Genomic DNA, 27,989 nt, shown 5'->3' with positions numbered 1-27,989 from the left:
CTTGAATACTTGAGGAATAAGAAAAGCAAATATAATAAAGGCAAAAAATTAAAGGACAGGTAGACAAAAACTAAACAAATATATGATGAAAGATACATAATTTACTCAACAAATCACTTGTTGAATGATAAGTCACTCAAGTTGTATATCTTAGGATAATAACAGATTTATGACGAGTCAAAGTGTTGACAATGTAAAGAGAAGTTATTTAAGGAAAGAATGAGCAGAACAGAGACAGGCAGAGGACTCTGATGGCAAAGTAAAGATAGTGTGGAGGCCAGGAAGTGATGTAATAGTCCAGGTAGAAGGTGGCTGGGGACTGGGAGAATGTGGTATGGGCATTCCACAGGGATGAGGAGGAAGGAGTAGAAAACATGGAAACAAAGTACAATGTGAGAAACAATCTATAAAAAGTGAGAGGTAAATAGAATGACATCAGCAAGATGGTGGAATAGGAACTCTCTGGCTCCACCGTTTTCTACAGAAATCCAATTTGCAACTATTCAGAGACAAGAATACCTTGATGAATATCCCAGAACATGGGAGTGAGGCTGAAACAACCCCTTGGACCACAGACAAAGAACAGCTACAATTGAAGTGTAAGAGGAACAGTTTCTCTTTGACTATGTTGCCCCTCCCCCAAGCCAGCACAGTCCGGCACACAAGAGATTCCCCGGGAACTGTGGGTTTTTACAGAGGGAAGAGAGAGTTGAGTTGGAGGCAGACATTCAGCTTCCCCAACATTCTGGGCCCATTCACAGGTAACACTCCCTTGTCTTGCCCCACTGGAAACACTAGCTATCAACAGGGCTAGACCACCTGAGGTCACTTAGAAACAACGAACAGGGGTAGGGCTCACAGTGACAGACAAGCAGATCTTGGTGGCGGCTCTGCCTTGTGGCCAGTGGAGGCACACCACCAGAAAGAATACCCAACAGCATTGCTCTGAATGAGGCACAGTTGACAGGCCTCCCAGGCCCAAATCCCTGGCCAGCTTCCACAGCCAGCCTGCGTGCTCTCCTTAAAACTTCCCCAGGCCAGGAGATAGCGGCATGTTGATAATTATCTGCTGAGTAAACATCTAGCTCCACCCAAGCTTAGTGATTGAGCTGCAACCCAACCAAGCTCTAGAGTACTCTTTAGTCCTTTCTCAGGCCAGAAGGCAGGGGTACATTTGTCATCATTCACAGAGGGAGCATCTGACCCCACCTAGATGCAGCCACAGAGCTGTGATCTAGCCAAGCCCTGGTGATCTCCTTCACAGCCACTTCCAGGCCAAGAAGCAAGGGCAGGTCAGCATTATCCACAAAGGGACCCTCTGACCCTTCCCAGACCCACGGATTATCCAAAGAGAGCATCTGACCCTACTCAGACCCAGCTGCAGAGCTGTGACTTAGCCAAGCCCCAGTACTTTCCTTAACTTCGCTCCAAGCTAGAAGTTAAAAGCAGGTCAGCAATTATCTGAATCTAGTCCTGCCCAGACTCAGCTAGTGAGCATCAATCCAACCAAATCCTGGGGCTCTCCTTAAGCCCTTGCCAGGCAAGGAGTCATGTGCATGTGTGTGAATGTCTTCTGAGGGGAGCATCTGACTCTGCTCAACTACAGCAGCTAAACAGCTACTAAACCAAACCTCAGTGCTGTGCTTAAGGTTACCCTAGTATGGGAGGCAAGCCCATGTCCATGCATATCTATGCAGCATAGCCTGCAGTCCTGCCTACCCTGAGTAGTTAAGTAGCAATCTAGACACCTCACCCAGCCTCCCAGCCAAGTAGGTGGCCCTGTGCAGATATAGATCCCAAACCACAGCACTATCCAGCCAGAGAAGACAATCTACAACACTGATCAGAGGCAATTACTACGCCCAGGCAACAGCTCTGACTTACTGAAGACCCCAACCAGAGATGTCACTGGATCTCAGAGCACAGCCAGCACTTCCATTTGATCCCAGGTCACAGGTAACAGCCCAGCCCAAATACAAAACATGATAACAAAGTCTACTTGTCTGGGGTCACTACCAACTAACCCAACCAGAATCCCAAGCTAGACTAAATAGTGAAGTTCTATCACCACCACAGAACACTAGAAAAGCCTGAAAAGGGTGGCTGTTTCCTCACATGTGCAGATGCCAACATAAGGATTTTTTTTAAATCAGGGAAATATGACCAAAAGAAATTAATAAAGTTCCAATAATGGATCTTGAAGAAATGGAGATCTATAAAATGAATGACAAAAATTCAGAATAATTCTCTTGAAGTTCAGGGAACTATAAGAAAATACAGATGAAACAGTAAATGCAATTTGGAAAACAATTCATTAACAAAATAAGAAATTTGACAAAGAAATAAAAACAAACAAAAAAACAAACAGAAACGCTAGAAATAAGGAATACAATGACTATTCTAAAAATTCAGTAGAAAATTTCAACAGCAGACTTGATCAAGCAGAAGAAAGAAAATTAGTGAATTAAAAGATAGGATACTTAAAGTTATCCAGTCAAAGAAGCAAAAATAAAAAAGAATGAAAAAGAATAGAGAAGGTCTATAGGAATTATGTGACACAATCAAGAGAACTAAGCTGTACATAACAGGAGTTCCCAAAGAAGAGAAAGAAAAAATACCAAGAATCATTATTTTTAAAAATACTGGCTGAAAAATGCCTAAATCTGGGGAAAGACAACACTATCTAGAAATTGGAAGCTCAAAGTTCTCCAGTCAAATTCAACTCAATGAAGAGTTTACCCAGACAAAAATCAAACACAAAGAAAGAATACTGAAAGCAGCAAGAGATAGAGAATATAGTCGCATTCAAAGGCGTCTCAATATGGCTAATTAGCAGATTTCTCAGCAGAAACCCTGCAGACCATGAGAGAGTAGAATAATAAACTCAAAGTAATGAAGAAGGGGAAAAAAACTTCTACCAAGAATACTTTACTCAGGAAAGCTGTCCTTCAGAAACAAGAGAGAATTAAATTTTTCCCAGACAAAAGCTAAGAGAGTTTGTTACCACTCGGCCTGCTCTATAGAATTGCTAAAGGGAGTTACTTAAGCTTAAATGAAAGTCTGATAACTAATAACATAAAACATGAGAAAATTTAAAGAAAACTGAATGGTATAAGTAATATAGTCATGTTCAGGATATTCTAATAATGTAAGGTGATTATATAAAGCAAATTTATCTCTCAGGTTTAAAAGACAAAACTATTAAAAATAACTGTAGCTATAATAAACTGTTAGGAAATACAAATTACAAAAAAAATTCTGAGATCAAAATCATAAAAGTTTTAGGGGAGAGAACATAAAAATATAGTTTTTGTTTGCTATGAAGTTAATTTTTTATCAATTTAAAATAGCTGTTTCTGAGTACAAGATGTTTTATGTAAGCCTCATGGTAACCACAAAGCAGAAAACTACTGTGGAAGCAAAAACTATAAAAAGAAAGGATTAAAAGCAGACCACCATAGGAAACCATCAAGCCACAAAGGAAAACAGCAACAGAAGAAGAAAGAAACAAAAGATCTACAAAACAAACAGAAAACAAATAATGAAAGGGCAGTAGCAAGTCTGCTCCTATTAATAATTATCCTGAATGAAATTGATTAAATTCATCAAAAGACACAGAATGGCTTAATGTATTAAAAAAAAATAAGATCCAATCATATGCTGCCTACAAGAGACTATTTACCAATAACGACACATATAAAGTGAAAATGAAGGAATGGAAAAAGGCATTCCTTGCAAATGTAAGTCAAAACAGAAGGGTAGATATACTTATATCAGGTAAAATAGACTTTAAGTAAAAAACTATAAAAAGGGACAAAGAAGACCATTCTATAACAACAAGAGGGTAAATTCATCAAGAAGACATAGCAATTATAAATATACATACACCCAACATTGGAGCACCTAAATAATAAAGCAATTATTAAGTGATCTGAAGGGTGATATAGACTGCAATACAATAATAGTAGGGGACCCCAGTATCCCACTTTTAACAATAAACTGACTATCTAGACAGCACATCAATAAGAAAACACTGGACTTAATTACACTGTAGACCAAATAGACCTAACAGACATATACAAAATCTTCTATCCAAAAGCAATAGAATACACTTTCTTCTCAAGCAAACAGAACATTCTTCAGGATAGACTATATGTTAGGCCACAAAACATGTCTTAACAAATTTAAGAGCACTGAAAGCATAGCAAGTATGTTTTCTGATCATAATGGCATTAAGCTAGAAATCAATAACAGAAGAAATCTTGGGAAATTCACAAATATGTAGAAATTAAATATACTCTAAACAATAAATGACTTGCAGAAGAAATAAAAAGATACCTTATGACAAAAATAAAAATAATATACTAAAATGTATGGTATGCAGCAAAAACAGTCCAAAAAGGAAAATTTACAGCAATAAACGCCTGTATTGAAAAAGAAATAAAATCTCAAATAAATGGTCTAATATTACAACTAAAGGAAATAGAAAAAGAACAAACTAAGCCCAAAGTTAACAGAAGGAAGCAAATAACAAAGAGCAAAAATAAATAAAAGACTAGAAAAACAATAGAAAAAAATAAATAAAACTAAGAATTGTTTTTTTTTAAAAGAAAAAGTTGACAAACCCTTAGCTACATCAACTAAGAAAAAAAGTGCAGATTCAAACAAAATCAGAAATAAAAGTAGAGACATTACAACAGATACCACAGAAATACAGAAATACAAAGGATCAAGAGAAACTACCACAGTTATGTGCCAAAAATTGGATAACCTTGAAAAAATGAATAAACGTCTAGACACATAGCACCTACTAAGACTGAATCATGAAGAGATAGAAAACCTAAGCAGATCAATAATGAGTAAGGAAATTAAATCAGTCATAAAACGACTCATATCAAAGAAAGTCCCAGAACCTGATGCCTTTATGGCTGAATGCTACCAAACATTTCAAGAGCAAATACCAATCCTTCTTAAAATACTCCAAAAAATTGAAGAACAGAGGATAATTCCAAATTCATTTTACATGGCCAGCATTATCCTGATATAAAGGCCAAAGACCCTATAAGAAAAAAAGAAATTACAGGCCAATATCTCTGATGAACAAAGATGCAAAAATCCCTAGTAAGACAATAGCAAATTGAATTCAACAATGCAATAAAGGAATCATTCACCATGATCAAGTGGGATTTATTCTTGGAATTTATGGATGGTTCAATATATGCAGATCAAGAAATGTGATTCACTACACTAAGAAAATAAAGAAGAAAAACCAAATAATCATCTAAATTGATGCAAAGTATTTGAAAAAAATCAACATCCTTTCATGATAAAAGCTCTCAAAATAATAGGTATAGAGGAAATGTACTTCAGTACAATAAAAGTCACATATAACAAACAAGTAACCAACATTATACTCAATGGTGAAAAGTTGAAAAAGGTTTTCTCCAAGATCCTGGCCAAGACAAAGATGCCCACTATTGTCACTTCCTTTCAACATCGTTCTGAAAGTTCCAGCCAAAGCAATTAAGCGAGAGAAAGAAATAAGACATACCTAAATAGGAATGGAAGAAATTAAATTGTCTCTGTTTGCTGACAACATGTTTTATATATTGAAAACCCTAAAGTTTGCATTAAAACAAACTCTTAGAACTGATAACTGAAGTCAGTAAAGTCGTAGGATACAAAATCAACATACAAAAATCTGTAGCATTTCTATACACTAATAACTAGCTATCCAAAAAAGTTAAGAAAACAAGCCTATTTACAACAGCAATAAAGACGAACGACTGGTATACTGAAAACTGTACAACGCTGATGAAAGAAATAGAAAAAAACACAAATAAATAAAAAGATATCCCATATTCATGAATTGAAGGAATGAATATTGTTAAAATGTCCATGCTACCCAAAGTGATCTACAGATTCAATGCAGTCCTTATCAAAATTCTGGTATCATTTTTCTATTTTCACAGAAATAAAAAAAATTTAAATTCATATGAAACCACAAAACACTCTGAATAGACAAAACGATCTCAAGCAAAAAGAACAAGGCTGGATGCATCACACTACCTGACTTCAAAATATAAAGCAATTATGATCAAAACATCTTGGTACTGGCATAAAAACAGACTGACTGATCAAATGGGATAGGATAGAAAGCCCAGATATTAACTCACACTTTCACAACCAATTGATTTTTGACAAAGGTGCCAAGAACACACAATGAAGAAAGAGAGTCTATTCAATAAATGGTGTTGAGAAAATTGGATATCCACATGTGGAAGAATGAAATTAGATCCATTATTTCATACCAAATACATAAATCAACTCAAAATAAATTAAAGACCTTAAGTTATAAACTACTCAGTGAAAACGGGGAATATCCCCATGACATTAATCTGGGCAAGGATTTTTTGATTGACTCCAGAAGTTGAGGCGACAAAAGCAAAAATAGACAAATGGGATTGCATCAAATTAAAAAGTTTCTGCACAGCAAAGGAAACAATCACAAAATGAAGGGACAACCCAAAGAATGGGAAAAAACATTTTAAACCCATACAGCTATCTGATAAATGGTTAATATCCAAACTATATAAGAAACTCAAATAACTCAATAGCAAGGAAACAACCCAATTAAAAAATAGGCTAGGCCGGGCCCAGGGGCTCACGCCTATAATCCCAGCACTTTGGGAGGCTGAGGCAGGTGGATCATGAGGTCAGGAGTTTGAGACCAGCCTGGCCAAGATGGTGAAATTAGCTGGGCATGGTGGCAGGTGCCTGTAATCCCAGCTACTCGGGAGGCTGAGGCAGAAGAATCACTTGAACCCGGGAGGCAGAGGTTGCAGTGAGCTGAGATTGCACCACTGCACTCTAGCCTGGGCGACAGAGCAAGACTCTGTCTCAAAAAAAAAAAAAAAAAAAAAATAGGCTAAAGACCTGAAAAGACACTTCTTAAAAGATGCCTTATATATGGCCAACAGGTTCATGAAAAAAATGCTGATCACTAATCATTAGGAAAATAAAAATTAAAACCAAAATAAGCTATCACCTCACACCTATTAGAATAAATCTTACACAAAAATAAGTGTTGAAGAAGAGGAGAAAAGGAAATGCTTGCAGATGCACTGTTGGTAGAAACGTAAACTAGTAAGATGTTGTGGAAAATGGTATGGAGGTTCCCCCAACAATGAACAGAATGATCCAGCAATACCCACTTCTGTCTAAGAATATGTCAAAAGAAATTGAAATCAGTATGTCAAAGGGATATCTGCACTCCCATGTTCATTACAGCACTATTCACAATAGCCAAAATGTGAACTCAAACTATATATCTATCAACAGATGAATGGATAAAGAAAATGTGGTATATATACGCGATGGAATACTATTCTGCTTCAAAAAAAGAACAAAATTCTGTCATTTGGGACAATATGGATGGATCTGGAAGACATTATGCCAAGTAAATAAGCTAGGCACAGAAAGACAAATACTGCATGATCTCACTAGTTGCGGAATCTTTTAAAAGTTGAATTCATAGCAAAGGGTACAACAATAGTCACCAGGGCGGGGAAGAGCAAGAGAATGGGAAGTTGGTGGTCAAAAGGTACAAAATTTTGGCTAGACAGGAGGAATTTTTGAGATCTGCACACCAGGGTGACTATAATCAATAATAATGTATAGTATATTTCAAAATAACTAAGAGTACATTTCAACTGTATCATCACAAAAATGTTAAGTAAGTGATGGATATGTTAATAGCTTGATTTAATATTCCATGTTGTATACATTTATCAAAACATCATATTACACTCAATATGTGTAATATAATTATAACTTGTAAATTAAAAATAATACTAATTTAAAAGTTAGACATAAATAACCGTGATTCCTGGTCAGTAGTTGAGGTGACTGAAGGTAACACTGCCTAAATGTTAAATGCTTGATAAAGAAAGCAGTAGTTGGGCACCTAAGGGAAAAATTCCAAATACTGACTCCTGTATTTGTGCTAAATCTTCTAGTCTTCGCAATCAATATCATTTACTTTGTACACTTTAACATTTATGAGTTCGACTATCCCCACGCATGGATGTCTCCAAAATCCAAACCTTTAACTCCAATTTCTTTCTGATTCTAGTTCCACATCTCTACTAACCACCTACACATGCTTCTATATTATCTCAAACTAAAGACACCTATAAACAAGTTCATCACATTTCCCACTACAGACATTTTCTGTGTCTTTTCCTAATTTAAAACCATTCTCCTCCCAGTTGCCAAGGTATAATAACTTTTGCTCCCCACATTTGAACAGACATCAAGTGCTGTTGAATCTTCATTTCTAACTTCTCTTTCCCACAAGGATTTTCATTTCTAATTTCTCTTTCTCACAAGAATCTTCATTCCTAATTTCTCACCCCAGCTAAAGGCCCTCTTCAACTCTTGCCCAGGCAGTTGCAAGTTACTTCATCCAGCATATTCTATACACCAAAGCTATGAGGAGTTGTAAAACATGCCTTTGATCATCATTTGCCATTGAAAAGCCTTCAAGGATTTCTCTATCTCACTACTGCTGAGTGTGATCCAGGGATCTAAGAGACACTGAAACCCTTTTAGAGGATTTCAGAGGTCAAAACTGTTTGCATAATAAAATGAAAATAATGCTGTTTTCATAATAATGCTGTTTTTCTACTTCATTCTCATTCTTTCATGAGTGTACAGAACTTAGCAGAGGCTAAATGACTGATAATACTGGAGTAGACTGAATTCAGATGCAGACATGAGAACCCAGACTCAGACAAGTACTGCCTGATCTCACTTATATGTGGAATCTGAAAAAGTCAAACTCAAAAAAGCAAATTGTAGAACTGTGCTTGCCAGGGGCCAGGGCGTGAGAGAAATGGGGGATTTTGATTAAAGACTACCAACTTTCAGTTATAAGATGGGTAATTTCTGTGGACCTAATCTACAGCATAATAACTATAGTTAACAATAATGTACTGTATACTTGAAATTGCTAAGAGACTAGATTTTAAGTGTTTTCATCAAAAAAAGGTAAATATGTGAGGTAATGGATGGGTTAATTAGCTCAATTGAGGAAATACATATCATTATATGTATATCAAAATATCACATTGTATATCTTAAATATAAACAATGTTTGTCAATCAAGCCTTAATAAAGATGGAAAAAAGTTAATTAATTAGGAGAATCAGTTGGGCACAGTGTCTCATGACTGTAATCCCAGCACTTTGAGGCAGGAGGATCTCCTGAAGCCTGGAGCTCAAGACCAGGCTGGGCAACACAAAGAAACTCCACTTTTAAAAAAAACTTTTTTTTAATTATGTGGGCATGATGGAGCATGCCTGTAGTCCTAGCTATTCAGGAGGCTGAGGTGGGAGTACGGCTTGAACTCATGTGTTCAAGGCTGCAGTAAGCTATGATTGCATCACTACATTATAGCCTGACAAATGAGCAAAATGCTGTCCCTTAAAAAAATTAATTAAATACATAAAGTAGAATCTATATACCATGTATTAAACCAGACATTAAAGAGATTTTCAAAAATTAAAATAAAACCAATGCCACTCTTCTCATAAAAGTGTTCGTTTTAGAAAGTGTTTTTTAAAAATAACGTTGTATTTACACATAATGAGTATATTGCTGTCATTTTAAAATAGATGACTTTAACATTTCTCAGTTTTAATCTCTTACACAATAAATATGAATAGATTCTAAGAGCAAAATGTGTGAAAACTGCTGGATGATTTGAGGCACAGGCGCACCATGTGCCTGCCATTCCAGGCCATCTTCTCTAGATTCCAGTGTTGTATCTCCAATCTCAGCACCACAACATTCTGGTCAAATCCTCTGTCGCTGGCACTTTCATCTACCAATGGTGGCCTCAATGCTATAAACACTTCTGCCTTTCTCCTTTGCTCATACCTTTCCCTCTGCCCAAAGTGTGTCCTGCCAATCCACGCAGACATAGCTCAAGCTTTCTCTTGTCTCTCTTAATCACTCCAATTCTACCCCTCACAGAGCAAATGGTATTGGTCATTGAAATGGTTTGGCTCTGTGTCCCAACCCAAATCTCATGTCAAATTATAATTTTCAGTGTTGGGGGAGGGACCTGGTGGGAGGTGATTGGATCATAGAGGCGGATTTCCCGCTTGCTGCTCTTGTGATAGTAGAGGAGTTCTCCCAAGATCCAGTTGTTTAAAAGTGTGCAGCACTTCCCCCTTCGCGCTCTCTTTTTCCCTCCACCATGTAAAGAAGGTGCTTGCTTCCCCTTCACCCTTCTGCCATGACTGTAAGCTTCCTGAGGCCTCCCAAAGCATGCTTTCTATACAGTCTGTGGAACTGTGAGTCAATTAAACCTTTTTTCTTCATAAAATACCCAGTTTCAGATAGTTTTCTAAAGCAGTGTGAGAATGGACTAATATAGTCCTGTACCTTGAATTAGTATCTTAATATTTTTTCTTGCTTCTCCAACCATACATTAAGGCTTTTAAGTAGAGGAATTCTTCATAGCATGGTAACATTGACTTACATATAATATCAAATTAATAACTGTGTGCCATTTAATTCATACAGAATTGCCATATCTCAATTTAAAAGCAGGACTATGATTCATCCAGAGTCACCTGTGGAGCCACTCAGGCTTGGCTCACAAATTCTCTAGACACCTCAACAGGAGACATGATGACCCACTGTCTGTGTCTCCTCCCTGTGCTATGAACACCCACCCCATGAGCCAGCTTGATAAGCTCACCATGCCACTGGCCTCAGCTTCATCTCCTTATCATCACTGGCCCACCCAAGGGATTCCTTGCCAACCCTAAAATAATCCTACAACCTGCAGACAGCAATAATACCTTGGGTTCTCTCCAATCGACTTTGTTTCTGAAACCACAGTGATTAAAAATATTGCTTATGTTTCTGATGTGTGGATTAAAGTACAGAAGACCAAGAAAGGATTTCAGACTGTGGAGGAGGTTGGGAGAGTTCATGAAGATGGAAGAATTCTCATAGTCATTCTCCAACTTAAAAAAAATTCATAAATGCAAATACTTGCTATTGCCATATACATACTTTCATATTTTAAAAATATATATTTAATGTCACTCTTCATGTTTCTCTAGACAAAAGAAATATATTATTTTCATTCTTCACTAATATTTTCCTCCATATTTTAGTTATTCTGATTATTCTCAAGCCAATGTCCATTCTGAAAGTATTAATCTGCAAAAGGAAAATTGAAATTCAAAAGAATTTCAAAAAATTATAGGATTTCTGGAAGGAGTATTGTAAAGCTCTTGATGTTACATTCCTATTAAAATACCCAGAGTCGGCTGGGCGTGGTGGCTCACGCCTATAATCCCAGCACTTTGGGTGGGCGGATCACAAGGTCAGGAGATCAAGACCATCCTGGCTAACACGGTGAAACCCCGTCTCTACTAAAAATACAAAAAAATTAGCCAGACATGGTGGCGGACGCCTGTAGTCCCAGCTACTGGGGAGACTGAGGCAGGAGAATAGCGGAACCTGGGAGGCGGAGCTTGCAGTGAGCAGAGATTGCCCCACTGCACTCCAGCCTGGGCAACACAGCTAGACCCCATCTCCAAAAAAAAAAAAATACCCAGTGTCTGGCAATGTGATACTAAATCTAAATCAATGAGATTAAAATCATTCTGGCTTTCCATACTACCTTTAGAATTGGTGAGCAGTTGAAAAGTCCTTACCTATTCCTGAGGCTGGTGTGAAGGAGTGGATTCTGTTAACAGCAGCAAAATCTACAGACTGAAAATACCTGAAGGAAGACTGTCCCATCTCCCAGATGAAAATATCAATTGAATTCTGATCTCCTGCAATAATGAAATAGAAGTCAAATCTTAATGCAAAAGTTACAGAAAAAAATGACAAAATTACATAATAAAACTATAATAAAAATATCAAGAAACAAATTTCCTCAGAATCCATTTAGTCCAATAAAAATACAAGTTAATAGGAAGTACTTCAAAAGTCTTTTTGCATTTACTGCATGACGGGAATACATTATTAGTCATTAACCATGATATAATGTTAAAGAAAGAACAAGGACAATTTTTTTTAATTTTTTTAGGAATGTTGCAATTTTACCCATGAAAGTTCTACTCAGCAGCAGAAAGCAAATTTTCCTTCCAAGAATATTCTGAAAGAGTCTTATAAAAAGTTCTGAACATTATTTACTAATACTATAAATTATTCATGGCACATCAAGTAAATACATATAAAAAGTTACTTGTTTGCATCCTGCGTATAAAATATTCATGTATCTTTCAACTTTACCTACCTACTTCCAATTTTGTTTTCATATAACTTTCAGGTAGTAGTCAGAACACAAGATTAGGGGTATAATGCTTAAATATTTCTCAAAAATCCATTTACAGCTGACAATTAATACTTATCTATCAAGAAATATTCTATGGATTAGTAAAAAATTATTGCAAGAGCATTTTCATATAAAATATACCATATGAATGCTAGATGATTTCAATAATTATATATACACTACAAATACTTTATCTTCTCACCTAGAAAGACATTTTCGGCAAATATTAGGTAAATATCATTGGCTGAAGACAAAGCCTCAACTTCTGTTGTCCCACTGACAGGCACCTCTTGAAAGTTAATAAACCCACTGCCAGACCATCTGAATAAAAGGGAGTTTAGCCTGGCATTAGCCTGGGAAATGGCTAAGAACACAGAGCCTCCCTTGTTGAACAAGGCCACGGTCAGCACACCTCGGACAGGGAGTTTTTGATGCAACACGAAGCTTCCTCCATTCCACCTGAAGACCTGAAGGAAATGTTGAAATACAAAACCCTTTATGACTAGGAATTTAGCACTTGCAAGAATGTAATCAATACCATATGTTTACTCTCTTGGATCCTTTTATTTAGTTAAAAAGATACTTTCATAAATAAGAAAATACTAAAACTGATGCTCCCTTGCTGCTCTCTCCCTTATCTAATCTGTGTGAGTGTGCACATATATGTCTATGCACATAAGTACACATACACACACACAGAGTGAATGAAAGAGAAGATATTTGAAAAGAAATCAGTATCAAATGTACATCTGGGTAAGGGTTGTTGACAGCAGGGAAAGGGAAAGCTAAAACCAGGAAATACACTACATATGAAAAATTTAGAACGGAATAAGAAACATTCTAATGCTGCAATATTATTATCAATTGCTCGAGCAATAGAATACAGAGAAACACCTAAATCCTTTCTGTCCCCATGGTGGCAGTCAACGTATGCAAGTTTTCAGGGTAAGTGTTCATAAATGCAAAATTAAAATTCAGACCCTACCTGAAGGCAAGCTGGTCAATGTCACAGAAAATTATACTTATTCAGTCAACAATTAGGAACTTTTGAGCCACAGACATTATGCTAAGAACTATGGATACAGCGACCTTTCCCTTTATGGATCTTATTAACTATTAGGAAAAGGTAAACAAGAAACATATCAATAATTAAGTCAATGTATAAGTATAAAATGAGTCAAGTACTGAAGATGACAATTAGGATGGTCTGATAGAGAATTATGAAGGTATTTGGGAAATCAAGTTAGAAGGAACAACATGACAAAGTTCTTAAGACAGAAAAAATTTGTCATTATCTGAATAAAGACTGGAAGGAATCTGATAGTGCTGGGAGAATGATGAGAGTTAAGGCTGGAGAGGTAAGATCATCATGGAGTACCTTCCATTAGGATGACCATATAATTAATCACCTAAACAGGGATCCTTTAAAGAGTGAAAGGGGCAATATTAATAACAATACCAGAACAGGCATAATCCAGTACTTTCCAAGGCAAATCAGGAAATATAGCTATCCTATGTTAAGCCCATATTAAATAATTTCAAATTTATTCTAAGTATAATTGCAAATCATTGAGTGGTTTTAAAATCAGAAATAACATTAGTCAATTAATATTTTTAAAAAATGCCTCCAGTTACTCAATGGAGAATGGATCTGAGGAGGTCAAGGAAATTCAGAGAACAGCTAGGAGGACACTATAATGGTGTGGAAGAGAAATAATGGGGACCTGGAGTAGGGAGGAGTAGAGACAAAATGTCTTCACTTATTGACACATATAATCAAAAATACTTAATGATAAACTCGATGTGAAAGAATAAAAAGGAGTAAGTTCAAGACCAGCCTGAGAAACATGGTGAAATCCCATCTCTACAAAATACAAAAAATCAGCCAGGTGTGGTGACACACGCCTGTTGACCCAGCCACCCGGGAGGCTAAGGTAGGAGGATCACCAGAGCCCAGGAGGTCAAGGCTATAGTGACCTGTGATCATGGCACTGCACTCAAGCCTGGGCCACAGAGCCAGACCCCATCCCCCCCACTAATAAAAAGGAGTAATCAAGGAAGAAATATCCCAGGATTCTGTCCTAAGCAACTGAGTTCGTGGGGTTGCTATTTCCTGAGATGAAAGCTAGCACTGAAGTAACAAGTTTCATAGTGGAAATCAAAGGTTCAGTTTGGGATATGTTAAATATTATGTACCAAAAATATATTTAAGTGAACATGTCAATAGGCAGTTAGGTATGTAGGCCTGGAATACAGAGGAAAGGCTACAGATATAATTTAAAATACGCTAGCCTATTGCTGATATTTAAAACCACAGGATTGATAAAAGTATCCAAGTGAGTGAAGAGAAAGAAAAAAGAAATTTGAACTATAAGTGAATCTTTCTGGAAAACTCCAAGACATCTAAGTTTACGAAAGGGAAGAGGAACTGGCAATGGGGACTGAGAAGGATCACACACACACACACACACACACACACACATACCCAGAGAGAGAAAGGGAAAAGGAAAATTTGTGTAGTGTGTTAGAAAGCAAGGTAAGATTTATATTTGAGGATGAGGTGACTGTCACATGCTGGTGGAATGTATAATGATTACACAGAAAAACACCCACTGGATCTGGTAATGCAGTTGTCATTGGTGAGCACGGGGAAGTAAAGACAAAACAAGTAGAAAATTCTTTCAGGATGTCTTACTATAGAAGGGAGAAAGGAAATGAAATGAAAACTAGAAGGGAATGAGATCAAGGGAGGAATTTCTTTTTAAGCTGGGTGAAGCTAGAACATTTAGGCTGATTGTAGTAACCAAATAGAGAGAGAGATGTCAGAGATGGAGGGAATAGCTAAACCTTATAAGGACAAGGTGGGCACTTATGTGAGAGGCCTGGCTTTTTAGAAGGGACACTTTCTCTGTCGTAGCAGGAATGAGGACTAAGATTGGGTTTCAAGTGGGTTTTTGAATTTGGTGTTGGGAAAATGAATAATACCCCTTTTGGTAGCTTTCACTTCAACAAGGGAATTAGCTGAAAATGGAATTGTGAAGCATGTATGGAAGTTTAAGGAGTGACAAAAGTTATCAAATAAGCATTACTAGAATTACAAGATCTAGTTTACTAAAGAAATGTGGGATTTCTGAGGTGATACTGAATGCCTGTGTGGCAATGCTAATCATGAATTTTTAGTGATACTCTGTCTGGCTGTGTGATGTTTCTCCACAATGTTTTGCAATTCAGTTAAATTCTAATTAAATGTTCATTTTTATTGTTACATTATCCTTGGCTCTTGAAGATAATATAACATTTTATGACTCTGGTATTTAAAAATTAACTTTTAACTAACCAGTCTTTACATTCTACTTTACCACAATCAAATTTTGGTTTTCTTTTATACTAAACCAGCAGACCATACCTTTGGTAAATTTCAATTATAATGTTAAAAAGAAAAGCAAAAAAAAACCCACTTCATTTTAAAAGAATCAAACCTGAGTTAATTCGGAATCATCTCTTTGACTTGCAATGATTAAATAATCTTGGCTGTCTGAAGTAAAATATCTTACTTGAGAACTTTCCAGAATAATGATTGTTTGTACCTGCAAGGACAGAGTGGGAATGAAAACTTAAAGGAGAGTTGAACTAAGAAAGCCACTGAACACACTAATAGCATGAGTTAAAATCTGAAGTGCAAGACTTAAAAAATTTTAATACCAAGCTACACATAACTAAGTGTCATTTTAAAAAGACAAAAATATCCCCGGATTAAGATACTTTGCTAAAATGTATATCAACTCACAAAAAGTCCTTTTTCACATTAACATAAAACATACATTATCTTCCAATTTGAACAATCTTACAAATCTTAATTTCTTTTAAAGAAAGTAATCTATTTAAAAATGAAAATGTTTTTACCAGGAATAATTTAAATCCAGATGTGAATGTAAACACACTGTTAAGAGAAGGCTTTTCTTCATTTCTTTCTTCATGAGTAATCACAAAGTAGGGAGAAAAACCAATATTAAAGGCCTCACAAGTTTTAGGATTTTCTATATTTAAATCCTAGAAAATGAGGAATAAGAATACAGTTATTCATTATACATCTAAAATTTATCTGCACATTTTATTTTTGTACTATAAAAAAATACTGATGTTTACCTCAACTGGAATAAAAATCCCCTGCCATCGGTAAACAGTAACAGATGATTTTCTTAACATTATACCATATATTAAATTTTCCAAAGTAAAGAAACACCAGCCAGAAGCTGATTCATCCAAAAAACTTTGAAATACGGAAAACACAACATCCATTCCCCCTGAAAAACACAAATCATGGTTTACTAGTTTATTACTCCTTCAAAAACTTATCTATTCTAATTTATTGTTTAAACAATGAGACAAGTGCATTTGTGACTACAAATGAAAATTCTTTCATGACGTGTGTATGAGTGTGAAAAGACACAAGTGGGAAAACTTTAAAATAACTACAAATAATGAATTTGTACTACAAATAAGAATATTTTTAAATTATTATTTAAAAACCAAGAAAATTTGTTAAAGCTCTGCTTTATACCTACACATACTTTTCCAAGGTGTATTTAGAAATAAATACTAAATGTGGCTGGGCATGGTGGCTCACGCCTGTAATCCCAGAATTTTGGGAGGCCGAGGTAGGTGGATCACTTGAGGTCAAGAGTTTGAGACCAGCCTGGCCAACATGGTGAAACCGTTCTCTACTAAAAATACAAAAATCAGCTGGGCATGATGGTGTGCGCCTGTAATACCAGCTACTCGGATGGCTGAGGCACGAGAATTGCTTGAACCCGGGAGGCGGAGGTTGTAGTGAGCCGAGATAGTGCCACTGCACTCCAGCTTGGGTGACATGGCCAGACCCTGGCTCAAAAACTAACTAAATAAATACTAAATGTATATTTTAAAGGGAAATATGCAGAACATGATTTTTATCAACTTCTGTAAAGCTGATGAAAATATAACTGAGAAATTTTATAATAATAAATACTTTTTATAGAAATATGATATTTGGTTTAAAAAATTTACGCTATTAAATTTGAAATTATGCCTATCTAATTTTTCACTTACATTTTATACATTTTAAGAATGCCAAGCAGACTCACATATTTCAAATGGCTGTCAAGGTTTTATCAAACTGCTACAACTGGTACATGTTTTAAAATTCTGTACTACAAAAAAAAAGAAAAAAAAAGGGCAAAAATAAAAATCCCCTAACTAATGAGGAGTAAACATTTTTTAAAAAATGTATAGTCTCTTAACATGGCTGCTTCCCTCCAAAACATTAAGTTCTTTTTAAATTTTGGTTAATGGTGTGAACATGATGCAGTAAGAACAACTATCAAGGTTGAAACCTGGGCTCCCTATAAATGATTGATCATTTTTAGATTACTAATTCAAGAGAATTTGTCAATGCCTTACATGTAATATCCAATAGCAATTTCCTTTCCTAAAAATCCAGCATTTTAAATTTTTATGTTGCTCCCTTTTAAAGGTATACTGCAGATTTTTCATTTAGAGTCCCAAATGGTCCTGACATATGGACAAATCCTTCTCTACAATAATTCAAGACGACCACAAATGAAGAATAAGCAATGACTGCTAACAATTAAGAATCTCCGACATGTGCTCTCATGAGTACTTCCAAAAAACACATGCAAAGTCCAAGCGTAATGCAGAAATCTAAATTAGAAACCAGACTTTCTTTTTTGGATCCCATCTCAGCTTGTCTTCTAGACAACCATACCACTATTAATTATCTCCTTTTTCTTCTAAATATTTAACATTTCTCTACCTTTTCCATCCAACCTACACATGCTTGGGTCTCTCCAAACTAAACATGCAAAAAACCTCCGACACCACACCACTACTACCTTCTCCAGGTCCTATCTTCCCTGCCAAACTTCTTGAAATGGTTGCATATATTTGAGGTCTCTCTTCTTTCACCTCTATTCAAAATGGTATTAATTCCCCATCTTTCTATACAAATAGCCCTTTCTATGGTCATTAATGCCTTCTATGTTGCTAATTATAATAATTATTTTCCAGGTTCTCATTTTACTGGACTTCTCACCAGGGGTTGACACCGTTTACTTTTTCCTCCATTTTAAAGCACTCTTCTGCTGGTATCTGCCATCCTGTTTTCTCCTGAGTTTCCTACCAGGTCCCCTAAGTCTCCTTTGCTAGGCCATCATCCCATATCCTCAGCCATTCAAGTTGAACCTTCTTATAGTTCAGTCTATAGTGTCCTCTTCCCTTCTCCATCTTCAGCCTTTCTTTTCAGATTATTACATCAATTTCCATGACTTCAAATACAATATATATAGCTAAAGTTCCAAGGTTTATCTCTCCAGCAGAGACCTTTTTTTTTTTTTTTTTTTTTTTTTTTTTTTTTTTTTTTTGAGACGGAGTTTTTGCTCTTGTTGCCCAGGCTGGAGTGCAATGGTGCGATCTCGGCTCACGGCATCCTCCACCTCCCAGGTTCAAGCGATTCTCCTGCCTCAGCCTTCCCAAGTAGCTGGGATTATAGGCGTGCGCCACCAAGCCCGGCTAATTTTTTTTGTATTTTTAGTAGAGATGGGGTTTCTCCGTGTGGGTCAGGCTGGTCTGAAACTCCCGACCCCAGGTGATCCGCCCACCTCGGCCTCCCAAACTGCTGGGATTACAGGCATGAACCACCGCGCCCGGCCCAGCAGAGACCTTCTTTTGAGTCTAGAGAAATTTATTCTCAAAAGTAACTCAAATTCAAAATGTGTTAAACCACATTTATTTTACTCCCCTTACTAAAATACATCTATTCTTTTTTGGAATTCCATCTTAATGAATAGCATGAACCCCTTCTCCCATCCAACTGCACAAGCTAGAAGCCTGAGTCATCTTTGGTACTTCCCTGTCCCTCACCTTCATACTCAACACCTAGTCTAAGCTACCACCATCTTGCCTCCCTGTATCTTCACTTCTCTTCTGTATCAACCCATTATTTACATGGCACTGTGAATAATATCTTCAAAATCCATATATGATTATACCATACCACATTACATATGGTAACTCTCCTCCATTCCTAAACCACTCGAAGGCTTTCCATTAACACTATTATAAAGACTGGCAACTATAAAATATTCCTTAAGTTCTTGAATGATATGGTCTTGTCCAGCTATCCAAGCTCAACATTCCTCCTTATTTCTGTACCTACTATCCACTCAAGTTCTTCACTTATGTGTGCTTTTTATGCCTCAGTTTTCTGCCTTCACAGCTTCTCACTCTCACCTCCATGTTCTTCCAACCCAGTCCTTTGCATAATCAATCTCTACTCATCATTCAGTCTTAGCTCAAAGATCAATACCCCTTGAAAGCATTCCCCTATATTCTTTCAACACTTAGAACTTCTCCTTTGACAAAAGCACTTACTAAAGTTTAAAGTATACATTGATTTTTACTTACTTGATTCATTTCTGTCACCCCCATCCCCTAAATTCTAAGATCCACGAGTTCAGTGCCATGCCTGGCATAGGCACTAAATACATATTTTATTTTATTTTATTTTATTTTATTTTATTTTATTTTATTTTATTTTATTTTATTTTTATTTTTATTTTATTTTATTTTATTTTTTAGACCAAGTCTTGCTCTGTTGACCAGGCTGGAGTGCAGTGGCACGATCTCGGCTCACTGCAAGCTCCGCCTCCCAGGTTCACGCCATTCTCCTGTCTTAGCCTCCCGAGTAGCTGGGACCACAGGCGCCTGCCACTACGCCCGGCTAATTTTTTGTATTTTTAGTAAAGATGGGGTTTCACCATGTTAGCCAGGATGGTCTCGATCTCCTGACCTTGTGATCCACCCGCCTCGGCCTTCCAAAGTGCTGGGATTACAGGCATGAGCCTCAACACATGAGCGCCCAGCCTCAACACATATTTATAGATGCAATAAAAGAATTAGATTATCTGTTTTCCATTTTCAAATGATCAATAACATACAATTCAAAGGAAAAAATATAAATCTTATACATGCAATATTTTTTCGTTACAGAATTTTGTTCTCATAAGAAATGAAACATACTCATGCCAAAGGCTGTTTCAGATACTGTCTCCCACTGCACACTCACAGCCAAATCAATGCCATTAGTTCGAGATACATTTAAATACACGGTCCTATTGGCTTCTTCGATGTCTATGGAGGTGGCTCTGAAAGAAATACATGGATTGAGGGAAGCAGAAAAAGTATACATTCTACATATTTGAAATATATATCATATTGCTAGCATATACTTAATACATTTTTAAATTTACACAATCCAAGATGAGATGATAAGAAAATACTAAAAATCAGTTACTTCAGTAACTTTGCACTCTATATTCTGAAAAAGAAATAAAATTGTCATTCTTATGTTTCTTCACACATGTATCAAAAACACTTTATAGGAAAAAAATGAGTCAGGAAATTAACATATTAATGAAACTAGATCTATTAAAATATTTTTATGATATAAAAAATAAATATTTGTCAGCCTCTAGAAGAAATTTTAAAACCACAATCATGTTAATATATATTTGAAGAGTCATTCACTTGGTTTGAGCAGTTAAGTCTGCTTTCTATTATTTCTTGCTTTTTATTATTTTTAAAACACAAAATAGTACAGACCTTTACCTGAAAGTGTGAACTCTGAGAAAATAAGAATTCTAATAACACCATTCTAATAACAGGGTGAGTTTAGGTTTTTGATACTCCCAGTTAGGAGAGTAACTGGTCTCTCTAGACCTATCTTTTCTAGAGTTCATTTTAAAAATCCCTTTTAAAATAATCAGATATCAATTTCCTTCTGCATTTTCTTATGTCAAAAAATATTCCCTACTTATAGCTTCAGAAGTGATAATTTCCTTATGAATAAACTATACCTATTTTCAACTGCAGAGATACTGAATAGCCCCAAAGGGGCCTGGTTTTGCAAAACTGTTATCAGGGTTTGAACATGCACCCCTAGTCTAGCACCTCCAGTTGGATTAAACAAGGTGCAAACAAAATACTCATCCATTTCTGGTTCCGTGTCTAATATGGCAGATATTTGTAGGGCCTGAAAACAAAATCAAAAGATAAGGTTACTAGAATACAGTATTTTTGTAACACATATATAGCGAAATCTACTGAACATTTCTGACAACAAAATAGCATGTTTTGAAAAATATCATCTCACTTTGATTTAATACTGATTCCTATAATGTGATGGTTACATCTGTTTCAGGTTACTACTTTTAGGATTTTCAACTTTGTGATATACTGCACTAAAGTGTCCAAAAAATATTTAGTGCATTTTAAAATAACATTGATTAAAAATTACATCTATGTCTTCATTTTTGTGAACTTTTTGTCCTGCTCTGGCTACATAACTTGATTAATCTCATTCTAATCTAGGGTTCACTGTTAAAAAAACATTTGTAGTCATAGCAGGCACAAATTAGAAACATCCGAACGTTCATCAGTGGGAGAACAGACAAACCAATAGTGGTCTATTTTATAAAATGCTACTCAGTGATTAAAAAAAATGTCCAACTACTGATGCATGCAACCATACAGACCTAAACATTATATTGAGTGAAAGAAGCCAGACACAAAAGAGTACACACTGTATGATTCTATTTATATGAAGCTCAAGAACCAGCAAAATGAGTCTTCAATGATAGAAATCAGAAAGTAGTTTCCTCTGGAAAGGGGAAGAGACAGGGGGAATCTTCCGGGTGATGATAATGTTAAATACATTTATTTATTTATTTATTTATTTATTTATTTATTTATTTATTTATGAGACAGAGTCTTGTGCTGTCACCCAGGCTGAAATGCAGTGGCACTCTGTTCACTGCAACCTCCACCTCCCAAGTTCAAGTTATTCTCCTGCCTCAGCCTCCTGAGTACCATTCAGGTACACACCACTACACCCAGCTAGTTTTTGTATTTTTGGTAGAGATAGGGTTTCACTATGTTGGCCAGGCTGGTCTCGAACTCCTGACCTCAAGTGATCCGCCCGCCTAGCCCCCGGAAGATTACAGGCGTGTGCCACTACGCCCAGCTTTAATGTTAAATATTTTAATCTGAGTGGTAGTTACATGTATGTATATATATATCTTTACAGTCACTAAGCCATATACTTAAGATTTGTGTATTTTACTACTTATACCTCAAAATAAAAACTTTTTGGAATAAAAACAGTTATGTCGGTTAAAAAATTTATTTAATCCAATTTGCTCTAACATTTAATTTGCCTAATAAAAAGAAAAGTATATAGCTATACTGTGAAAAAGGAGTCTTTTATGAAAAAAGTCACAGTAAAAAAAAACAACAAATTTGAGAAAAATTTTAAAGATGAAAAAACATGAATAAAGCAATAGAAAATTAATAAAATATTTCAAATTTGAATTTTTATATATATATTTCAAGATTTAAATGTAAGTGATCTTGCACAAACCAATTAAGGTTTTAAATTTCCAAAATGTGAAAAAAAACCATGACAATGAATATGCATTTGCAAATGTGCTGAAGTTACATAAAATGATCATTTAAAAAAATAATTATTAGATGGACTGTTTTAGACAAAATAGCTTTAAATCTATTATTTTAGATTTATTATATTTTCTACAGCAGGCTTGAAAAATGCCTAAAGCTAACATAATCAGCTATTTTATTTTATTTTATTTTCACAATAATAGGAGCTTTATTGACAAGAGTCAAAAGGTGGAAACAACAGATAGCTGGATTTAAAAATTACGGTATATACATACAATAAAATATAATCTAGCTGTGAAAAGGGAATGAAGTTCTGATACCTGTAACAACACAGATGCACCTTGAAAACATTTTGCTAAGCGAAGGAAGTCAGACACAAAAGGGTAAATACTGTATAATTTCACATATGCGAAATATCTAGAATAGGCAAATTCATAGAGACAGAAAGTAGACTGGAGATTACTAGGGAGAGGAGTAATAGGGAGTTACTACTTAATGGGCACAGAGTTTGTCCTTGGAATGATGAAAAATTTTGGAAATAGATGGTGGTGATGGTTGTACATTGCTGTGAATATAATTAATGCCACTGAAACGTTCACTAAAAATGGTGAAAATGGTAAATCTTATATTACACGTATTTTTCCACAATAAAAAATGAGTCAAAATAATCACAGGCCCGGCACAGTGGTTCATGCCTTTAATCCCAACACTTTGGGAGGTTGAGGCGGGCAGATCACTTGGCACCAGGAGTTTGGGACCAGACTGGCCAATATGGTGAAACCCCATTTTTACTAAAAATACAAAAAATTAGCTGGGAATAGCTGGGCGTGGTGGCTCATGCCTGTAATCCCAGCACTTTGGGAGGCTGAGGCGGGCGGATCACGAGGTCAGGAGATCGAGACCATCCTGGCTAACACGGTGAAACCCCGTCTCTACTAAAAATACAAAAAATTAGCCAGACATGATGGTGGGCGCCTGTAGTGGTGGGCGCCTGTAGCCACTCAGGAGGCCGAGGCAGGAGAATGGCATGAACCCGGAAGGCAGAGCTTGCAGTGAGCTGAGATCGCGTCACTGCACTCCAGAATCACTTGAACCTGGGAGGTGGAGTTTGCAGTAAACCTAGATTGCGCCACTGAACTCCAGCCTGGATGACAGAGTGAGACTCTGCCTCAAAAAAAAAAAAAAAAAAAAATCACATTTGCAACATAATCTTGCAAATTGCTTTTTTTTTTATTATACTTTAAGTTCTAGGGTACATGTGCACAACATGCAGGTTTGTTACATATGTGTACATGTGCCATGTTGGTGTGCTGCATTTTAAACTTAAACTGTTTTAAAAAATAAAGTTTAGTAGCAGGAACAGAAAATTGTTAATATATAGAAAAAGAGGTTTGGGAAGGTAAACTGTGAGTATAGATCATATTTATCCCAAATCCAGCATTTTTTTCTCCAATAAACTATTCTTGTTGTCAAACAAGCAGTCTGAAGTAAGCAGTTACATTTTGTTCAACAAAAATGTGGTGAAAGGGAAATGATTGGCTGGGACTTAATGTTTACAAAAGTTGGCTTGGGTTTTCTTTTATATGGTTTATACACAATATAAAGTGACATATGCAATTTAAATGTGCTGAAAATTTAAAATAGCCATACATATATTTTCTTTATTATTTGCATATTCTTTTACCCTATTAATAGTAAATTTTTCCAGTTGCGCTTTATACAGAGTAAATAGAACTACAGCACTTGTCACATAGTAAATGAATCATGTCTTTGTCTAACACCTAAGCTGGAAGTATTGTTTTTTCATTCTAGGACTTGAGTGCTCATCTAAGAGAAATTTATTTTGTAAATATTAAAGATAAACTTCCATTCTCATTAAAGCTTCTTACTGTACCTTGAATCGAACACCTTCTTCTAAAACAATATAGCCTTTGGAAGGAGTCAGATCTTTAGATTCATTTGAGGAATTCACTTCTGTCACAATGAACTGAACTGTCACTGTTCCAAACAATCCTTGTGCAGGTTCCCGAACAATGTACAATACTGCAACACTCTCCTGGACGTAGAGAGCTGTTGGCTCTCTTAGGAAAAAGTGCTCACTGTTGTTAAATGATAGAACTCCAGGGCCGTCATCATTAGCAAGGACAATAATTAAGGCTGCCAAAATAAAAATATTAAAGCAACAAATGAAAATAGAAGAGGTTATAAATGCTGAAAAAAGTGTGGATGTCTAATTGAAAACTAGGCCAACTCTTTACCTAAGGTGATTGTCTTAAGATGATCTTAAAAATGACAGAATTTTTTAAAGCATTTAATAAAATAACATATTCAATCATGATAGAAAAATACTCAGTAATCTTGGGATAAAAGGCAGCTTCCTTAACCTGATGAAGCAGTATCTCTCAGAAGTCAACAACAAATATCAAATATTGAAACATTAGCAGCATTCCCACTAAAAACAGAAACAAAATAATAATGTCTGTCATAATTGTTACTATTTAACAGTGTCCCAGGGCTATCAGCCAGATAACACCTGTAAAAGTAGTGGAAAGAGTCAGAACTGTCACTATTTTCTAGATGACATGATTGTCTACTAAGAAAATGTAAGAGAAAATATTAGAACTACAGTAAGAACACAAAGCAAGCTGAGTAACCTTCACAAATCAAGAGTGTTCTATTTTTTACTGTCACTTATATTAATAATAATTACAACTAATACTATTAAGAACTTACTAATTGCTTAACCTATATTAACTCTTTTAATTCTCACAATAACCCTATGATATTGATTATATTATTATTCTCATTTTACAGAACCTATGATTGAAGGACATTCAGGTAATTTGAAGAAGTTTACAAGCTGGGAAGTGGCAGACCTGGTGCACAAAGTCAGAAAGTCTGCTTCAGATCATACATTCTTAAAGACTATTATAATATCTCTAAAGATCAGCTATTTAAAAAAAAAAAAGAAAAGTAGACCTTATTCACAATAGCAACAATACTTAGAAATTAGCCTAATGTAAAAACTATAAAACCTATATGAAGAAAATCACAAAATTTTAATGTATAACTGTGGCAGACACTGTCAGCACCTCCCTTTCACCCACTCTAAAGTCACCTGCAGCAGTTCCTATTTGCCTAGTGGTCTCTCTCTACCTGAAGACAGCATCAGCCCATGCAGGAGTAAGGACAGAACTGTTGCAAATTTAACACCCAAGAGCAACTCTCAAATGATCAGAAATAGGAGCTGGTAAATGAACAGCCCAGATTTCTTTCCTTGTCATGGGACAGTCCTAAGCTTCATTCAACCCAGTGTCTAAGAGGAACACCAGCAGGACTGAGTGTCAGTTGCCCACAGCAGTACTGCTCATTAGGACATCATCTATCAGCTTTCCTCTCTCTCACCTCCTCATTTCTCATCAGGCCTCCAGAGATCACCTCTCAAATAAACTAAATCCTTGTCCAAATCCTTGTCTTACAGTTTGGTTTTGAGAGAACACAAGGGAAGGCAATGGTATAAAAGATCTAAATTACTGGAGAGGCATTTTATATTTCTAAATTGGAAAACTCAATATTACAGTGATGTCAAATCCATCCAAATTAATCCATAATTTTAATTCAACCCCAATCAAAATAGTTTGTTTGTTTTATAGATCTCAGTTTGAATCTAATGTTCATATGAAAGAGACTTTTTTAAGGAATAGGTGAGATAATTTAGAGAAAGAAAAAGAAAAATATTTGGCCTGAAAAACTAGCAAAATGTACTTCAAGGCTATGATAAATAAAGCAGTATGCTATTAGCACATAAATAGGCAAATAGAACAAAACAGAGTCCAGGAAAATGATAGGTAGATGGATAGAAAAAAGGAAAAAAAGAAGGGTAGATATTTCATGTTGAAAATTAATGGCTAATGGATGTTTCATTCTCTGTACGATATGAGGGTATTATTTTCTGCATTTTAGAAGAAAAATGAAGTTGTATCCTTGCCTCACACACTACCAATGAATAAATTCCTGATATGTGCAATAATGTAAATATAAATCAAAACAATGAAAATAGTAGAAAATATAGTAAAATATTTTATAGCATTTGGGTGAAAAGACCTAAGAAAGTAGGATTTAAAAGCATACCAGAAAATATTTGATATTTTAAATTTAAAAAAATTTTTATAATAAGAGACATTATAATAAAAGATAAATGACAGTCTGGGAGAAATATCTGCAATATATTTAAGAGGCAAAGTGTTGAATTCAAAATATATAACTATTCCTACAAACCAGTAAAGCAAAAACCACAGGAAAGTACATAAGGGATACGAAAAACAGGATCACAAAGTAAAAAAAAAACAAACCAGTGTCAAGCTCACTAACAATCAGGAAAATGAAAGAAAAAATGCACAATAATGTATAATACAACCACACATTTTTCAGTCATTAGAAATGGCATATAAAAATTTAAAGACTAAAGAAATTGCTGGTAAGGATATGGAGAAACTATCGTATATGTACACATTGAAATGTAACTAACAAAGAAGGCAACGGATGAGTCCTTTCACTCAACATGCACTGTACTCAACAGATAATCTTAATTATCCACATATATAGAGATTTATGTAAAAGGATATTTATTGAAACTTTATAAGGGTTTGGAAATAGTCTCAAGGTCAATCAATGGGGCATGGTTTAAGAAACGACTCACTGTCAAAGCACTTTTTGCTCTGAGGAATTTCTTAATCTTTAAAAATAGAAAATTACAAATATAAAGTAAGCTTGAGAGAGCCCAATACTATATTCCTTTCTCCTACTCATGGAGGTGGGCATGTCACCTATGTAATTTCAATCAGATTTTTATAAGGACCTTATAGGAATGCATGAATTTGAATACTCTCTCTTTCCTGTTATATGAAATGCAGAAGAATGGTCCTGATCACCATCTTATGACAATGAATAACATTAGCCTTGCAATGAAGCCAATATTCCAAAAGGCAAAGAAAAGAGACAGAAAACCTCAGGATCTCTGGCAGCATTAAGTCCTGCTCCTGCCTCATCTAAAGGTGTATGTCGCTGTATCCTCAGGTTAAATAAACCAATAAATTATATGTGTTTA

At 35.6% G+C, this 27,989-nt stretch overlaps 1 protein-coding gene and 1 long non-coding RNA gene across 17 annotated transcripts in view, besides 1 other annotated feature; one reads left to right on the top strand and one right to left on the bottom strand.

Moving 5' to 3' along the window:
• The window catches only part of ADGRV1 (adhesion G protein-coupled receptor V1), a 605,641-nt gene that overhangs the window by 422,932 nt on the left and 154,720 nt on the right, over positions 1-27,989 (bottom strand). For all 16 annotated transcript variants that reach the window (NR_003149.2, XM_017009963.3, XM_017009969.3 and 13 more), the window contains 8 exons: positions 24,777-25,039; positions 21,283-21,458; positions 20,447-20,571; positions 16,517-16,674; positions 16,274-16,420; positions 15,850-15,957; positions 12,573-12,837; positions 11,742-11,864 (listed from right to left, as the gene is read on the bottom strand). Coding sequence is in view for 15 of the 16 variants with exons in the window: in XM_017009963.3 (XP_016865452.1) it covers positions 11,742-11,864; positions 12,573-12,837; positions 15,850-15,957; positions 16,274-16,420; positions 16,517-16,674; positions 20,447-20,571; positions 21,283-21,458; positions 24,777-25,039 (1,365 nt within the window). In the remaining variant the exon portion in view is untranslated. The remainder of the gene's footprint in view (positions 1-11,741; positions 11,865-12,572; positions 12,838-15,849; positions 15,958-16,273; positions 16,421-16,516; positions 16,675-20,446; positions 20,572-21,282; positions 21,459-24,776; positions 25,040-27,989) is intronic.
• LOC105379077 (uncharacterized) lies at positions 237-27,989 on the top strand. Its single transcript, XR_001742802.2, has 3 exons — positions 237-599; positions 25,697-25,720; positions 27,796-27,989. It is a non-coding gene; the product is annotated as an uncharacterized LOC105379077 (long non-coding RNA).
• Positions 3,249-3,750: an enhancer, noted in NCBI's record as "NANOG hESC enhancer chr5:90033573-90034074 (GRCh37/hg19 assembly coordinates)". NCBI's record gives its function as "activates a minimal SCP1, AML or CMV promoter by ChIP-STARR-seq in primed H9 embryonic stem cells {active_cell/tissue: H9 hESC(primed)}" and the evidence as "EXISTENCE:reporter gene assay evidence [ECO:0000049][PMID:30033119]".

Source organism: Homo sapiens, chromosome 5 (genome assembly GCF_000001405.40).
Source record: "Homo sapiens chromosome 5, GRCh38.p14 Primary Assembly".
In the NCBI taxonomy this organism is placed as follows: Eukaryota; Metazoa; Chordata; class Mammalia; order Primates; family Hominidae; genus Homo; species Homo sapiens.
This window is presented reverse-complemented; position numbering and strand designations above follow the sequence as displayed.